The 17,542-nt window shown below is 37.2% G+C and overlaps 1 protein-coding gene and 1 pseudogene across 11 annotated transcripts in view; both read left to right on the top strand.

Annotated features, from left to right (window-relative positions):
- Nucleotides 1-13,327, top strand: part of ACSL4 (acyl-CoA synthetase long chain family member 4) — a 91,923-nt gene extending 78,596 nt beyond the window's left edge. For all 11 annotated transcript variants that reach the window (NM_001437252.1, NM_001437251.1, NM_001437247.1 and 8 more), the window contains one exon: nucleotides 10,476-13,327. In NM_001437252.1, coding sequence (NP_001424181.1) covers nucleotides 10,476-10,633 — 158 coding nt within the window. In that variant the 3' untranslated portion in view covers nucleotides 10,634-13,327. The remainder of the gene's footprint in view (nucleotides 1-10,475) is intronic.
- Nucleotides 16,074-16,548, top strand: PPP6CP (protein phosphatase 6 catalytic subunit pseudogene; annotated as a pseudogene).

The raw sequence follows: 17,542 nt of genomic DNA, 5'->3' as shown, positions 1-17,542 counted from the left end.
CTTTTGTTGGTAGTTGCTTTGGCTTCCTCAGCCCTAAGTTAATTACCACAAATTCCTTTGCTTTTTGTCTTCTAAGATTTTGTTGCACTTTCTCATTCAGTGCCCATTTTCTCTTGTTTCACTTTTTGCCTTGTGGTTAATACCTTTTTCATTTTTAAATTATTCTAAACAATTTAAATTCTTTTTTAGGCAGAACAGAGAAAAACTATATACTCTTCGTGTTTTGTTGGAAGCTGTTAACCTAATTTCAACCCATTGTTTTTCTCTTACAAATAAAAATATCATTTTTCTGATTATAGGTTATCTATATTCATTATAAAATATTGGACAACAGAATATTACAAAGAAGGAAGTAAAAATCACTTGAGAGTAGTTTATCTTTGGGTGGCAAGATTACATTTTGGTATATATACTTAAGCTGTCAACATAATCGAAGTTTTTCTGTGTCAGTAAATAGAAAATTACGGTATCATTTTAAATACTAAATAGTCCCAGTGCATAAATAGCCATTTAAGTCCCTATTAGATTTTTAGGTGAATTTCACCTTCTTCCCCATCACTGTAAACAAATATAACACGAATCTTGTATACTCCATTATTTTCTTATGTGATTATTTTCTTAGTGTGAATTCCTAGAAACAGAATTTCTGAGTCAAAGAGAATATATATATATATATTTTTTCAAATAAATTTTTTTAAAAATTATTATTATACTTTAAGTTTTAGGGTACATGTGCACAATGTGCAGGTTAGTTACATATGTATACATGTGCCATGCTGGTGTGCTGCACCCATTAACTCGTCATTTAGCATTAGGTATATCTCCTAATGCTATCCCTCCCCCTTCCGCCCACCCCACAACAGTCCCCAGAGTGTGATGTTCCCCTTCCTGTGTCCATGTGTTCTCATTGTTCAATTCCCATCTATAAGTGAGAACATGCGGTGTTTGGTTTTTTGTCCTTGCGATAGTTTACTGAGAATGATGATTTCCAATTTCATCCATGTCCCTACAAAGGACATGAACTCATCATTTTTTATGGCTGCATAGTATTCCATGGTGTATATGTGCCACATTTTCTTAATCCAGTCTATCATTGTTGGACATTTGGGCTGGTTCCAAGTCTTTGCTGTTGTGAATAGTGCCGCAATAAACATACGTGTGCATGTGTCTTTATAGCAGCATGATTTATAGTCCTTTGAGTATATACCCAGTAATGGGATGGCTGGGTCAAATGGTACTTCTAGTTCTAGATCCCTGAGGAATCGCCACACTGGACTTCCACAATGGTTGAACTAGTTTACAATCCCACCAACAGTGTAAAAGTGTTCCTATTTCTCCACATCCTCTCCAGCACCTGTTGTTCCCTGACTTTTTAATGATTGCCATTCTAACTGGTGTGAGATGGTATCTCATTGTAGTTTTGATTTGCATTTCTCTGATGGCCAGTGATGATGAGCATTTTTTCATGTGTCTTTTGGCTGCATAAGAATATATATTTTAAAGACTTTTTTCCTCATTGCCAAATTGCTGCCTCTCCCCAGGAAAACTGAACCGGCTTATATTCCTATCAGAGATATATGAATATACCTATTTCTCTAACTGGGCTCCTATTATTTCTATTTATTAAAAATGTTAACTACTTAGGTTACATTTTGGTTTAAAAATATAGTTTATAGTAATAGTTTTTCTACCTGAAAACTAATTTCTCCCCAAGAATAATTTTCTGAATTCTAGACACTGTGAAGTTTTAAATAACAATGGCCTGTTAACATAATCAGATTGAAAAAGCTTATTTATTTTATACCTATAAAAACAGTGTGACATGTATTTTATACTTACAAAAATAGTGTGACATAATATTTCCTTCTTCAAGGTGGTTTTGTTACAATATTATTGATATAACACACTTTTATATTAATGAACCAGGCTCCCAGAACCTTTTTTGATACAAAGCCTGATTTGCTCTCAATATAGTATTTCTAAAAATATATAGTATTTTCTTTAGGTATTTAAGTATAGCATTTCAAATATAGTATTTTCTTTAAATATAGTATTTCAAGAAATATATAGTATTTCAACCAAAAGGCTAATCATCAGAGGTGCACTGTAGTTACTCTTATTCATCCTCTGAATATATTAATGGATTAGAATGTGACTTGAATAATTTTCCATTGCATATTTAATTGTGTAGAAGCAACAATGGGGGAAGTCAAACTGTATCCCACTTTGTTAGAAGGCAGAATAAAATCCTAGGACCCACTAGGTTCTCATAACTTTCCTGTGCTTAGAGTGAGGCATGTAACTCATGATTTGGATAATGAGTGGTAATCATGAGCTAAATGTATAAATCATAAACCTTTTGTGCCACAAAGGATTTATCTTGCCAACATTTTGCAAATTATAATTTCAGAGACTTATGCAAAAAAGTGTGAAATAGTTTTGATTGTATTCAGCAAATCTGTCAGAAATTATACATCTTTCATAGCAGGCCTCTTCATATTTTAAGTATAATTGTGAGGTATACATAGTATCATAAGAATGCAAAATACTTGTTTTTGGGTGATTTGAGCAACTACTAATGGCTATGAAAATTGCTATTTGCTGCCACCTGCAAGTCACATTTCATAATGTTCTAGTTAATTCAGATAAAAATGCCACATTTTTGTTTGTTTTGTTTGTTTTTCCTTCTCCTAACCTTTCTCACTTGTTGGCAATTTATTCTATTTACAGGAATCTGTGATAGTCCATTGCTTCCTATGGCTTGGAGTATTAGATAATGTTTAGGAGTTTTCAAGATGAAACTTCTATAGCAGTCTTTATTTTTTTGGCTTTAAAGTAGGAATTTAACTAAGATTGTTTTCAGCCTGCTTTCATTTGCTTGTGTGCAACTGAAATAATGTGTTTGCCTTGTCCCAATTTTGTCAGTGTTTCTGGACTAGGACCTATGTATGTAAGAAAAGTAAAATGAAATAAAAAATTGGGGGGCCAAATCTGTAGCTGAGAATTTAACTGTTTCCTTGAGTTCCAAATGTGACGTTGGGAGCAGATAAGCTTATTTTATGAAACTCTGTGTAACTGAGCTGTACTTTAATAACAGAGTAGACCTGGTTAATTCAAGCAAGTTTTATGTTCCTTTACGACCCATTCAGGCATTATTTTTAGGAAGTTGGTTGTAATTTATATTTAAAAGATTATTTTTCATACTCAACTTTATATTTTTCTGTCATTTTAGTGAGAAACTCACTAGTTCAATCAAGCTTTCATAAAACGTAGACTAGTACTAGAAAAGAACTTTGGTGAATGTGAGTTCTTTGTGCTTGCCACTGAAACCAAATCATTTCTAAACTCGTCTAGGCTATTTTGTAGTAGTTTTTAAAAATGTGCGAATGTTTGCTTCTTGGCAATTGCTGTTTTAAATAATCACATAAAATAACATTTTATGTTGATTAACATAACATCTGTTGATTAATATTACTGTTAATAGGCCTCCATAATTTAAAGAATTACCCTTGTAGTCATAATAAATAACTTGATGGCATATAATTTATGGAATTTAAAAGTATTAATACTGTATTAATTACCTTTATGTCCTTCCTTATATTTTGCCAATATGTATTAAGTTGTATAACTCAAATACAATATTCATTGCATCAGTTTTTATACCATTTAAAGATATGAAATTCACAATCCCCTTTTTTATCTGCATTTGAATATATAGTAAAGTTTATAAAGAATATTTGTCTAGAGACTTAATTTTCTGTAGAATGAATTAATAAACTTGTATGTATTTATGGAGGGCTCTCAACCCTATGGATGGCAGTGAAAAAATCAAAGACCTTGCTTTTATGGAGCTTACATTTTAGCTCCATGGTGAAACAAATATATAATATGTTGGGTGGTGATAACTACTTTGAACAAAGCATAGTGTTAAGAAGGTATAGAGAGACAAAGGGACTTCTCTTTTGTGTATTTCTTTATTTATTATTATACTTTAAGTTTTAGGGTACATGTGCACAATGTGCAGGTTAGTTACATATGTATACATGTGCCATGCTGGTGCGCTGCACCCACTAACTTGTCATCTAGCATTAGGTATATCTCCCAATGCTATCCCTCCCCCCTTCCCCCCACCCCACAACAGTCCCCAGAGTGTGATGTTCCCCTTCCTGTGTCCACGTGTTCTCATTGTTCAATTCCCACCTATGAGTGAGAATATGCGGTGTTTGGTTTTTTGTTCTTGCGATAGTTTACTGAGAATGATGATTTCCAATTTCATCCATGTCCCTACAAAGGACATGAACTCATCATTTTTTATGGCTGCATAGTATTCCCTGGTGTATATGTGCCACATTTTCTTAATCCAGTCTATCATTGTTGGACATTTGGGTTGGTTCCAAGTCTTTGCTATTGTGAATAATGCCGCAGTAAACATATGTGTGCATCTGTCTTTATAGCAGCATGATTTATAGTCCTCTGGGTATATACCCAGTAATGGGATGGCTGGGTCAAATGGTATTTCTAGTTCTAGATCCCTGAGGAATCACCACACTGACTTCCACAACGGTTGAACTAGTTTACAGTCCCACCAACAGTGTAAAAGTGTCCCTATTTCTCGACATCCTCTCCAGCACCTGTTGTTTCCTGACTTTTTAATGATTGCCATTCTAACTGGTGTGAGATGGTATCTCATTGTGGTTTTGATTTGCATTTCTCTGATGGCCAGTGATGGTGAGCATTTTTTCATGTGTTTTTTGGCTGCATAAATGTCTTCTTTTGAGAAGTGTCTGTTCATGTCCTTCACCCACTTTTTGATGGGGTTGTTTGTTTTTTTCTTGTAAATTTGTTTGAGTTCATTGTAGATTCTGGATATTAGCCCTTTGTCAGATGAGCAGGTTGCGAAAATTTTCTCCCATTTTGTAGGTTGCCTGTTCACTCTGATGGTAGTTTCTTTTGCTGTGCAGAAGCTCTTTAGTTTAATTAGTTCCCATTTGTCAATTTTGGCTTTTGTTGCCATTGCTTTTGGTGTTTTAGACATGAAGTCCTTGCCCATGCCTATGTCCTGAATGGTAATGTCTAGGTTTTCTTCTAGGGTTTTTATGGTTTTAGGTCTAACGTTTAAGTCTTTAATCCATTTTGAATTGATTTTTGTGTAAGGTGTAAGGAAGGGATCCAGTTTCAGCTTTCTACATATGGCTAGCCAGTTTTCCCAGCACCATTTATTAAATAGGGAATCCTTTCCCCATTGCTTGTTTTTCTTAGGTTTGTCAAAGATCAGATAGTTGTAGATATGTGGCGTTATTTGTGAGGCCTCTGTTCTGTTCCATTGATCTGTATCTCTGTGTTGGTACCAGTACCATGCTGTTTTGGCTACTGTAGCCTTGTAGTATAGTTTGAAGTCAGGTAGCGTGATGCCCCCAGCTTTGTTCTTTTGGCTTAGGATTGACTTGGCGATGCTGGCTCTTTTTTGGTTCCATATGAACTTTAAAGTAGTTTTTTCCAATTCTGTGAAGAAAGTCATTGATAGCTTGATGGGGATGGCATTGAATCCGTAAATTACCTTGGGCAGTGTGGCCATTTTCACGATATTGATTCTTCCTACCCATGAGCATGGAATGTTCTTCCATTTGTTTGTATCCTCTTTTATTTCCTTGAGCACTGGTTTGTAGTTCTCCTTGAAGAGGTCCTTCACATCCCTTGTAAGTTGGATTCCTAGGTATTTTATTCTCTTTGAAGCAATTGTGAATGGGAGTTCACTCATGATTTGGCTCTCTGTTTGTCTGTTGTTGGTGTATAAGAATGCTTGTGATTTTTGTACATTGATTTTGTATCCTGAGACTTTGCTGAAGTTGCTTATCAGCTTAAGGAGATTTTGGGCTGAGACAATGGGGTTTTCTAGATATACAATCATGTCGTCTGCAAACAGGGACAATTTGACTTCCTCTTTTCCTAATTGAATACCCTTTATTTCCTTCTCCTGCCTGATCGCCCTGGCCAGAACTTCCAACACTCTGTTGAATAGGAGTGGTGAGAGAGGGCATCCCTGTCTTGTGCTGGTTTTCAAAGGGAATGCTTCCAGTTTTTGCCCATTCAGTATAATGTTGGCTGTGGGTTTGTCATAGATAGCTCTTATTATTTTGAAATACGTCCCATCAATACCTAATTTATTGAGAGTTTTTAGCATGAAGCGTTGTTGAATTTTGTCAAAGGCCTTTTCTGCATCTATTGAGATAATCATGTGGTTTTTGTCTTTGGTTCTGTTTATATACTGGATTACATTTATTGATTTGCGTATATTAAACCAGCCTTGCATCCCAGGGATGAAGCCCACTTGATCATGGTGGATAAGCTTTTTGATATGCTGCTGGATTCGGTTTGCCAGTATTTTATTGAGGATTTTTGCATCAATGTTCATCAAGGATATTGGTCTAAAATTCTCTTTTTTGGTTGTGTCTCTGCCAGGCTTTGGTATCAGGATGATGCTGGCCTCATAAAATGAGTTAGGGAGGATTCCCTCATTTTCTATTGATTGGAATAGTTTCAGAAGGAATGGTATCAGTTCCTCCTTGTACCTCTGATAGAATTTGGCTGTGAATCCATCTGGTCATGGGCTTTTTTTTGTTGGTAGGCTATTAATTACTGCCTCAATTTCAGCACTTTTTATTGGTCTATTCAGGGATTCAACTTCTTCCTGGTTTAGTCTTGGGAGGGTGTATGTGTCCAGGAATTTATCCATTTCTTCTAGATTTTCTAGTTTATTTGCGTAGAGGTGTTTGTAGTATTCTCTGATGGTAGTTTGTATTTCTGTGGGATCGGTGGTGATATCCCCTTTATCATTTTTTATTGCGTCTATTTGATTCTTCTCTCTTTTTTTCTTTATTAGTCTTGCTAGCGGTCTATCAATTTTGCTGATCCTTTCAAAAAACCACCTCCTGGATTCATTAATTTTTTGAAGGGTTTTTTGTGTCTCTATTTCCTTCAGTTTTGCTCTGATCTTAGTTATTTCTTGCCTTCTGCTAGCTTTTGAATGTGTTTGTTCTTGCTTCTCTAGTTCTTTTAATTTTGATGTTAGGGTGTCAATTTTAGATCTTTCCTGCTTTCTCTTGTGGGCATTTAGTGCTATAAATTTCCATCTACACACTGCTTTGAATGTGTCCCAGAGATTCTGGTATATTGTGTCTTTGTTCTTGTTGGTTTCAAAGAACATCTTTATTTCTGTCTTCATTTCGTTATGTACCCAGAAGTCATCCAGGAGCAGGTTGTTCAGTTTCCATGTAGTTGACCGGTTTTGAGTGAGATTCTTAATCCTGAGTTCTAGTTTGATTGCACTGTGGTCTGAGAGACAGTTTGTTATAATTTCTGTTCTTTTACATTTGCTGAGGAGAGCTTTACTTCCAAGTTTGTGGTCAGTTTTGGAATAGGTGTGGTGTGGTGCTGAAAAAAATGTATATTCTGTTGATTTGGAGTGGAGAGTTCTGTAGATGTCTATTAGGTCCACTTGGTGCAGAGCTGAGTTCAATTCCTGGGTATCCTTGTTGACTTTCTGTCTCGTTGATCTGTCTAATGTTGACAGTGGGGTGTTAAAGTCTCCCATTATTAATGTGTGGGAGTCTAAGTCTCTTTTTAGGTCACTCACGACTTGCTTTGTGAATCTAGGTGCTCCTGTATTAGGTGCATATATATTTAGGATAGTTAGCTCTTCTTGTTGAATTGATCCCTTTACCATTATGTGATGGCCTTCTTTGTCTCTTCTGATCTTTGTTGGTTTAAAGTCTGTTTTATCAGAGACTAGGATTGCAACCCCTGCCTTTTTTTTGTTTTCCATTTGCTTGGTAGATCTTCCTCCATCCTTTTATTTTGAGCCTATGTGTGTCTCTGCACGTGAGATGGGTTTCCTGAATACAGCACACTGATGGGTCTTGACTCTGTATCCAATTTGCCAGTCTGTGTCTTTTAATTGGAGCATTTAGTCCATTTACATTTAAAGTTAATATTGTTATGTGTGAATTTGATCCTGTCATTATGATGTTAGCTGGTTATTTTGCTCGTTAGTTGATGCAGTTTCTTCCTAGTCTCAATGGTCTTTACATTTTGGCATGATTTTGCAGTGGCTGGTACCGGTTGTTCCTTTCCATGTTTAGCACTTCCTTCAGGAGCTCTTTTAGGGCAGGCCTGGTGGTGACAAAATCTCTCAGCATTTGCTTGTCTGTAAAGTATTTTATTTCTCCTTCACTTATGAAGCTTAGTTTGGCCGGATATGAAATTCTGGGTTGAAAATTCTTTTCTTTAAGAATGTTGTATATTGGCCCCCACTCTCTTCTGGCTTGTAGAGTTTCTGCCGAGAGATCCGCTGTTAGTCTGATGGGCTTCCCTTTGAGGGTACCCCAACCTTTCTCTCTGGCTGCCCTTAACATTTTTTCCTTCATTTCAACTTTGGTGAATCTGACAATTATGTGTCTTGGAGTTGCTCTTCTCGAGGAGTATCTTTGTGGCATTCTCTGTATTTCCTGAATCTGAATGTTGGCCTGCCTTGCTAGATTGGGGAAGTTCTCCTGGATAATATTCTACAGAGTGTTTTCCAACTTGGTTCCATTCTCCCCATCACTTTCAGGTACACCAATCAGATGTAGATTTGGTCTTTTCACATAGTCCCATATTTCTTGGAGGCTTTGCTCGTTTCTTTTTATTCTTTTTTCTCTAAACTTCCTTCTCACTCCATTTCATTCATTTCATCTTCCATCATTGATAGCCTTTCATCCAGTTGATCGCATCGGCTCCTGAGGCTTCTGCATTCTTCACGTAGTTCTCGAGCCTTGGCTTTCAGCTCCGTCAGCTTCTTTAAGCACTTCTCTGTATTGGTTATTCTAGTTATACATTCTTCTAAATTTTTTTCAAAGTTTTCAACTTCTTTGCCTTTGGTTTGAATGTCCTCCCGTAGCTCGGAGTAATTTGATTGTCTGAAGCCTTCTTCTCTCAGCTCGCCAGAGTCATTCTCCGTCCAGCTTTGTTCCGTTGCTGGTGAGGAACTGCATTCCTTTGGAGGAGGAGAGGCGCTCTGCTTTTTAGAGTTTCCAGTTTCTCTGCTCTGTTTTTTCCCCATCTTTGTGGTTTTATCTACTTTTGGTCTTTGATGATGGTGATGTACAGATCGGTTTTTGGTGTGGATGTCCTTTCTGTTTGTTAGTTTTCCTTCTAACAGACAGGACCCTCAGCTGCAGGTCTGTTGGAGTACCCGGCCGTGTGAGGTGTCAGTCTGCCCCTGCTGGGGGGTGCCTCCCATTTAGGCTGCTCGGGGGTCAGGGGTCAGGGACCCACTTGAGGAGGCAGTCTGCCCATTCTCAGATCTCCAGCTGCGTGCTGGGAGAACCACTGATCTCTTCAAAGCTGTCAGACAGGGACATTTAAGTCTGCAGAGGTTACTGCTGTCTTTTTGTTTGTCTGTGCCCTGCCCCCAGAGGTGGAGCCTACAGAGGCAGGCAGGCCTCCTTGAGCTGTGGTGGGCTCCACCCAGTTGGAGCTTCCCAGCTGCTTTGTTTACCTAAGCAAGCCTGGGCAATGGCGGGCGCCCCTCCCCCAGCCTCCCTGCCACCTTGCAGTTTGATCTCAGACTGCTGTGCTAGCAATCAGCGAGACTCCGTGGGCGTAGGACCCTCCGAGCCAGGTGCGGGCTATAATCTCCTGGTGCACCGTTTTTTAAGCCTGTCGGAAAAGCACAGTATTTGGGTGGGAGTGACCCGATTTTCCAGGTGACCCGTTTCTTTGACTAGGAAAGGGAACTCCCTGACCCCTTGTGCTTCCCGAGTGAGGCAATGCCTCGCCCTGCTTCGGCTCGCGCATGGTGCGCACACCCACTGACCTGCGCCCACTGTCTGGCACTCCCTAGTGAGATGAACCTGGTACCTCAGATGGAAATGCAGAAATCACCCGTCTTCTGTGTCGCTCAGGCTGGGAGCTGTAGACCAGAGCTGTTCGTATTTGGCCATCTTGGCTCCTCCCCCTTCTCTTTTGTTATGAGTGGTCAGGGATGTCCTCTCCGGGGTGGTGGTATTTGAGCAGACATATGGATAAAGTATGGAAGTGACACACAACTTTATTGAGAAAGACCATCTCAGGCAAATATAAAGTCTCTGAAGAGGAAGATGTGTGTGTATGTGTGTGTGTGTGAGTATAAATAATGTGTATATGTATGTATATTTTAATAACCACATAGACTAAAACTATCCAACTGAAACAACTTAGGTATACTTTGAGAAATATAAAATGAAATTGTAAGGTAGAGGTAGCATTAATAAACTATCTAGTATACCATTAAATAAGTTTGTGGTGATTGGTGATTCAACACCCGAATCATCTAGGTAAATCCTGAAAAACTCATATTTTATTAATTGCTTCTCCTTCCCCTTCTTTCCCCGTCCCCACTCCTTTCTCGTCTCTTTCCCCCCCTCTCCTTTTCTCCCATCTTTCACTTCTAATTTCAGTGAAATTGGAGCGATTTGAAATTCCAATCAAGGTTCGATTAAGCCCAGAGCCATGGACCCCTGAAACTGGTTTGGTAACTGATGCTTTCAAACTGAAAAGGAAGGAGCTGAGGAACCATTACCTCAAAGACATTGAACGAATGTATGGGGGCAAATAAAATGTTGTTGTCTTATTGACAGTTGTGCAGGAGGTAGCCTGGTGGTTTTCAACCTCTAGAATTTTAAGCCTTTGTTGAACTGTTAGAATGTAAGGTATATCATTCTAAAGATAGAGTAAAAAGAAAACAAAACCAAAAGTTATTAAAATTGTTGTCCGGTTTACTTTAACTTAGTTTTGCATAGTTCTAGTGCAGCTGAAATTGAAAAGTTATTTCCCTTTAGCTGTGTTATTATAGAGCAGAAATTCTGTTTTTAAAAATTAGCCTAAGATATACTTGTTTTTGTAAAGAAAAATATTTAATGTTGAACAAAATAAATTGGAGTTGGAGTAGAATGTAGTTTGAGGAAATTTGCAGCTTCCAATGCCTCTTGTCTTCCTATTTCAGAAGTTTAAATATTAAGCATGACAGAAAATATGTATTAACACTACTCAAAGCAAAAGTGCTGCAGGGCTTTAAAATTCTCTTCCAACCATTTATCTTGAAGGAAAAATTCAATAGTAATATAATACACAAAATCAAATAATACCTTAGAAGGTATTAAGATTATAATTGTTGCATAGGTTAGATATAGAGTCATTGTAATGTTGTGAATAATTACAGTGCCTAAAATAAGAATAGAACAACATATACAACACCAAAAAATATCTAGTAATATATTTAAAGGGAAATTGAGCTGCTTTTTTTGAAACTTTGAGATCTAAAAATAACTGTAATTATTTGAATGACTAAGAGGAAAGTACATTTTTTGAAATGCTGAAAATTGCCTTTCTGTGTTTATTCAAACTGAAAAGCTGAGACCAAGAGCAAGGAAGGTAAAAAGTTAACAGGCAAACATTTTCTCTTAGAAAAGGTGATAAAATCATAAGTATTTGGAATTAGAACCCTTGCACAGCACTGAACCTGGGAAAGAGATTTAAACTCTGAATTTATCTTTGATAACAGGGATTGATTTTAAAATGTACATGTATTAAATTACATTTGTAATTTAAGGTCTGTTTGCTGTTGCTGATTTTATTCTTGATCAGTAGTTTGCATTTCAGAAAGCCTTTCATTTTGCTTTAATTTTAGCAAAGCGGGTTATAATGAATGACTTCCCCAATATCTTGCTTGAACTTACAGGTGATTAACTTGGATGAGTTTTGGGAAGTTAAAGGGAAGAAAACACTGTTATCATTTTTTCCTGTTTGGGAAGAGCTTAGAAACTGGAAATACTAGATTTGGGAGAAGGGCAGAGTTACTTGATAAGGGACTGATGTTTGTGCAGTAACTTGGGAGTGTGGTTTCTTTTTGAATCTTTAATTAAAACCTGGGATTATATATCCCTGATAAATATTCACACTTGAACCATAGTTACTGTAAAATGCAAAAAATCTTAATACTGTTATTCTTTGCACTTTTTCTTAATCATTTTTTATATATATGCATATATATATGTGTGTGTGTGTGTTGCTTATGTTGTTTTGTACAGATGTGGGCCACCATTGCAACAAAATACATTCTTTTTGCTCTAAAATATTTATGAAGAAAATACTTAAATGTTATGTATATGGTGGTAATAAGGGAAAAATCAAGTATTATAAACAAGAATGAAGGTTTTTGTAAAGATTTCTGTTCAGCGTTTTGCAAGGTAAAATTTTAGGCAAGTTTTCCCTGAAGTTATGTGTATGTGAGTATTCTCATTCTTCCCAACTTGCCTTTGAAGAGTGAAATACCATTATTATCAAGTAGACTACTGTTCAGCTTTTATTCCTGCCCTGCTGTTTATCCCTTAAGAATGAGTTTCTTAGACTTTTCCAATATGTGATTTTTTTTCCCATTTAGAATGGTGATTTTAAATGTGTGAGTGCATGTACTATCTTATCTCAGATATTTGCACCCCCAATCTGCCCCCAACTCCCAAAAGCTAGAACACTGCCAACTGATCTGTTATAGGTCCTTTAGAAACACATAATTAACACTTAAGGTTGGGTGCTGCTAATTCTTTGCAAAAATCCAAATATTGTTAAGGGACCAGGGAGATGCCACTACCCCTTGATTTTCCATCTAAAAATATACATGTTTATGTAAACAAATCTTTCCATATCCATAGTGACTTTTCAAGTATTTAAGCCTAAAGATTTTGATCTCACATTTTTATACCTGTTTAAATTGCTCACAGTTATTACATACACATCAGCCATCAACTAAAGTTGTACTTTAAAAATTTACTACAATATGTACATTTCTAAGTCAAACACTTGTGACTTTTGCTTTAATTCCATGAATGTTCCTGCCTCCTTGATATTTGTATTTATTCTTTTTTTCTCTAGAGTAGAGGTATAATTGTGTGATATTTCAGAAATACAGATAAATGATTCAAAAAGTCACAGTTAAGGAGAATCATGTTTCTTTGATCATGAATAACTGATTAGTAAGTCTTGCCTATATTTTCCTGATAGCATATGACAAATGTTTCTAAGGTAACAAGATGAGAACAGATAAAGATTGTGTGGTGTTTTGGATTTGGAGAGAAATATTTTAATTTTTAAATGCAGTTACAAATTATAATGTATTCATATTTGTACTTTCTGTTAAAATGCATGATTGCAGAATTGTTTAGATTTTGTGTTTATTCTTGATGAAAAGCTTTGTTTGTTCTTGTTTTTAAGTTTGCACTCAAATCTTAAGAAATAAATCCACCCATGTTATCAAGCCAATTTGTACTTCATTATGCATTGAGATAAAATCTCCAAGTTTGAAGATTATTAACCAAACTTTTAAACACATATTTTTAAAGTACTCATCTCCAGGTTTATGGAATTGCATTAAGCAGTTAAACCGGCTTGTATAGTCCCATCCATTAGTTCAGAGTATTTGAATCCCAAACTGTTACTTTGGTCCAGTCAATAGAGTAAAACCCCTTTGTAACACTGATACTTTGGGACAAAACATGGATTATCAGTGGGCGCTACCAAATTATAACTGCTACTTTTAGGCTAATTAATATTTTAGAGAGAAATTAATTTGAGTTATATGAGGGTGTGTATAAAATGGCATTAAGAGCTCTATTTCCTGGCTTTGCCACTGTAGTTGTGTAACCTTCAGCAAATTAATTAACATTTTGGAGCTGCATTTCTTCATCTGGAAAAATTGGGTTGATGGATAATAGGATCTGCCTAATAGGATTGTTGTGAGAGTTAAAATGTAAAGTGTTTAGAACAATAGCTTATGTTAGCTATTATTATCATAATTATTATTGTACCTAGACACTATTCATCAGTCAGGTTGTTTAAAGTATTGACTAGCATACTCAGGGCCTTAAAGAACTGACTGCCCCTGAAGATTTTGTGAAAAAAGTTCTAGATCTAGAGGTCAGGAGACCTGGGCTTATTGACACTAGCTTTGTAACCATGGGCCAATCTCATAACCTTAGCCTTAGCCTTAGTTTCTTCTTCCCATTAAAAAACAAACAAACAAACAAACAAAAATTCAAAAATGATGCCTTTTGCAAAAAGGGAAAGACAAATGACAAAAGAAATAGGGAACATGATAGTCCTTATGGTCCATCATGTCTAGCTTTAGTATTGTGATATTACTGTTCCAAGCTCTATTTTCTTAAATGATGCCCTAGGTTCTGAGTTTCCTATAGGGCTATGAGGCTATGGATCACAAGAAGTTGAGGATTCTACTAGGTATAAGGAGTCTGTGACTCTTTTTTTTTTTTTTTTTTAATGTATTTTTGTCTTGAGATAGAGTCTCACTCTGTCACCCAGGCTGGAGTACAGTGGCTCCATCATGGCTCACTGCAGCCTTGAACTCCTGGGCTCAAGCGATCCTCTTTCTCACTTTAGCCGCCCAAGTAGCTGGGACTACAAGCACGCTCCAGCGTGCCCAGCTAATTATTTTTTTTTTTTTAGAGATGGGGTCTTGCTATGTTGCCCAGGCTGGTCTTGAACTCCTGGCATCAAGCAATCCTCCCACCTCAGCCACCCAAAGCGCTGGGATTACAGATGTGAGCCACAGTGCCTGACCCTTAATGTTTTTTTAAATTTTAATCAGGGTTTTGCACACATAATGTAAAGGAGTGCTTCCAAACTTCTTTTTATTGTGATCCACAATGCTGTGCACACATATTTTATGAAAATATTTTGTGAAAAAACAATACTAATGAGATGCACACTGGTTTTCTATTCTATTTCATTTATTTAAATGTTGGCTCTTACTCACTAAATTGATTTAATTACCCTGTAAAATAGTGCTGTTCAATAGAACTTTCTGTGAAGTTGAAAATATTCAGTATCTGCACTATCCACTGTAGTAGCTGCCAGCCACATGTGGCTGTGGATGATTTAAAATGTGGTTATTGTTGGCCAGGCCCGGTGGCTCACACCTACAATCCCAGTACTTTGGAAGGCCAAGATGGGAGGATCGCTTGAGGCCAAGAGTTTGAGACAAGCCTGGTTAACGTAGTGGGACCCCAGCTCTAAAAAAAAATAAAAATAAAATAACAAAAATTTAAGAGATCTTTAAAAAATTAAATGTCGTTAGTATGAGGAACTGGATTTTTATTTTTATGTCCATATTGGGCAGCATCACTCCAGAGAGATTGTAAGTCATGGTTTGAAAAGCACAGGTTTAAAGGCTGCTATTCTACAAAGTCTCTGAAAAACAGCTATCCACTGCCTTCATCCTCCCCATTTCCTCTGCCTCAGAGGCAACCACTTTTAACTCTTAATTGATTGTTTTGGTGTTTACCATCTTGTATCTAAATAACATGCTTGTATCCCTGCTTCTTGATTTTATCAACTTTTCAGTGTACACAGGGACACCTCTCATCCTCTCAATATAAATGCATAGTTAGATCAATAAGTCTTTACATTATAATAACTGCTATTCAGAGCTGAAATGTAGTGGGAAAACAAGTGATTCATTTTCTTCTGCACTTTTAAACCACTGGAGCTAATAATTGTGTTTCTTTCACTTGCTTGGTTTTCTATGTACTTACCGCTAATTCTACCGCAGGCTCTCCAACTAATTGCTTAAATCTCTGTAGACTTCCAGATAAGAAGAATTCTAACAATTTCATCTGGAAGAAATCTCTCCTAGAACCAGACGATTTGCCCTCCTTTCCCTGGTGCAGGGTCATTATCTTGGCATCTACCTTCACCGTCATCCTGAGACTTAACTTTACCTTTGTCGTGTTGGATCTCTTGTTTTCTGTATTCCACGTCTTTTTCTCACTTGGATTGTTACTTCTCCTTGATAGAATATATTCTACAGTAGCTTACTGAGAAGGGATAAATGGGAAATAATTGGAGACCTTAATTGATAATTTGTTGGGTATAGGATTGAAAATTTCCTCTCCATGTTGAAAGCATTATTCCATTGTCAATAAGCTTTCCGTCTTCTCTCTCCAACAGGAACTTTCCATTCTAGTTTCTTTTTTTTTTTTTTTTGGCCTTTAGACCAATTTATTTTATATCCTTTTAAAATATCATCCAACAAAAAGCAATGAAGTTTACATCTAGGGCAGATACACGTAACTCAAGGCACTTGTAGTCCATCATGCCCATTGAATAACAACTTTGCTGTTGAAACTTCTTAAAACTTACCAAGTTAAAAAGCTGAGTGATGCAGAAGGAGTAGTATTTTAGTGTAATCTGTAAATTGGCTTTTCTAAGAAAGGAAATACATCCTGTTTCCCTAGATGGGTAAATAAGCAAGAGCTACATGCAGCAGTGTCAGTAGTAAGACATTTCTCAAGTCTTTTCAAATGAATCAAAGGTGGGTATGGGATAGGAGAGAAAACTGATAGAAAAACATTGACACCATAACAATATATTTAGATAATTTAACATTTGAAAAGGCAAGAGGTGGCATTTCAGCAGCAAAGTGCTTAATGAAGAGTACATTGTGGAGAGTCATACAAGAAAGTATCTCATGCCAGTCAGAATGGCGATTATTAAAAAGTCAGGAAACAACAGATGCTGGCAAGGCTGTGGAGAAATAGGAACACTTTTACACTGTTGGTGGGAGTGTAAATTAGTTCAACCATTGTGGAAGACAGTGTGGTGATTCCTCAAGGATCTAGAACCAGAAATACCATTTGACCCAGCAATCCCATTACTGGGTATATACCCAAAGGATTATAAGTCATTCTACTATAATGACACATGCACACATATGTTTATTGCAGCACTATTTACAATAGAAAAGACTTGGAACCAACCCAAATGTCCATCAATGATAGACTGGATAAAGAAAATGTGGCACATATACACCATGGAATACTATGCAGCCATAAAAAAGAATGAGTTCATGTCCTTTGCAGGGACATAGATGTAGCTGGAAGCCATCATTCTCAGCAAACTAACACAGGAAAAGAAAACCAAACACTGCATGTTCTCACTCAAGTGGTAGTTGAACAGTGAGAACACATGGACACAGAGGGGAACATCACACACTGGGGCATGTCGAGGGGTGAGGGGCACAGGGAGGGAGAGCATTAGGACAAATACCTAATGCATGTGGGGCATAAAACCTAGATGGCGGGTTGATAGGTGCAGCAAACCACCATGGCACATGTATACCTACGTGACAAACCTGCATGTTCTGCACATGTATCCCAGAACTTAATAAAAACAAAAAAAGGGGCTGGGCATGGTGGCTCACGCCTGTAATCCCAGCACTGTGGGAGGCCGAGGTGGGCAGGTCACGAGGTCAGGAGATTGAGACCATCCTGGCTAACATGGTGAAACCCTGCCTCTATTAAAAATACAAAAAATTAGCCGGGCGTGGTGGCATGCGCCTGTAGTCCCAGCTACTCGGAAGGCTGAGGCAGAAGAATTGCTTGAACCCAGGAGGCGGAGGTTGCAGTGAGCCGAGATTGCACCACTGCACTGTAGCCTGGGCGACAGAGCAAGATTC

Source organism: Homo sapiens, chromosome X, assembly GCF_000001405.40.
Source record: "Homo sapiens chromosome X, GRCh38.p14 Primary Assembly".
Classification (NCBI taxonomy): domain Eukaryota; kingdom Metazoa; phylum Chordata; class Mammalia; order Primates; family Hominidae; genus Homo; species Homo sapiens.
Note: the sequence above shows the minus strand (reverse complement) of the source record. Positions and strands in the feature narration are given on the sequence as shown.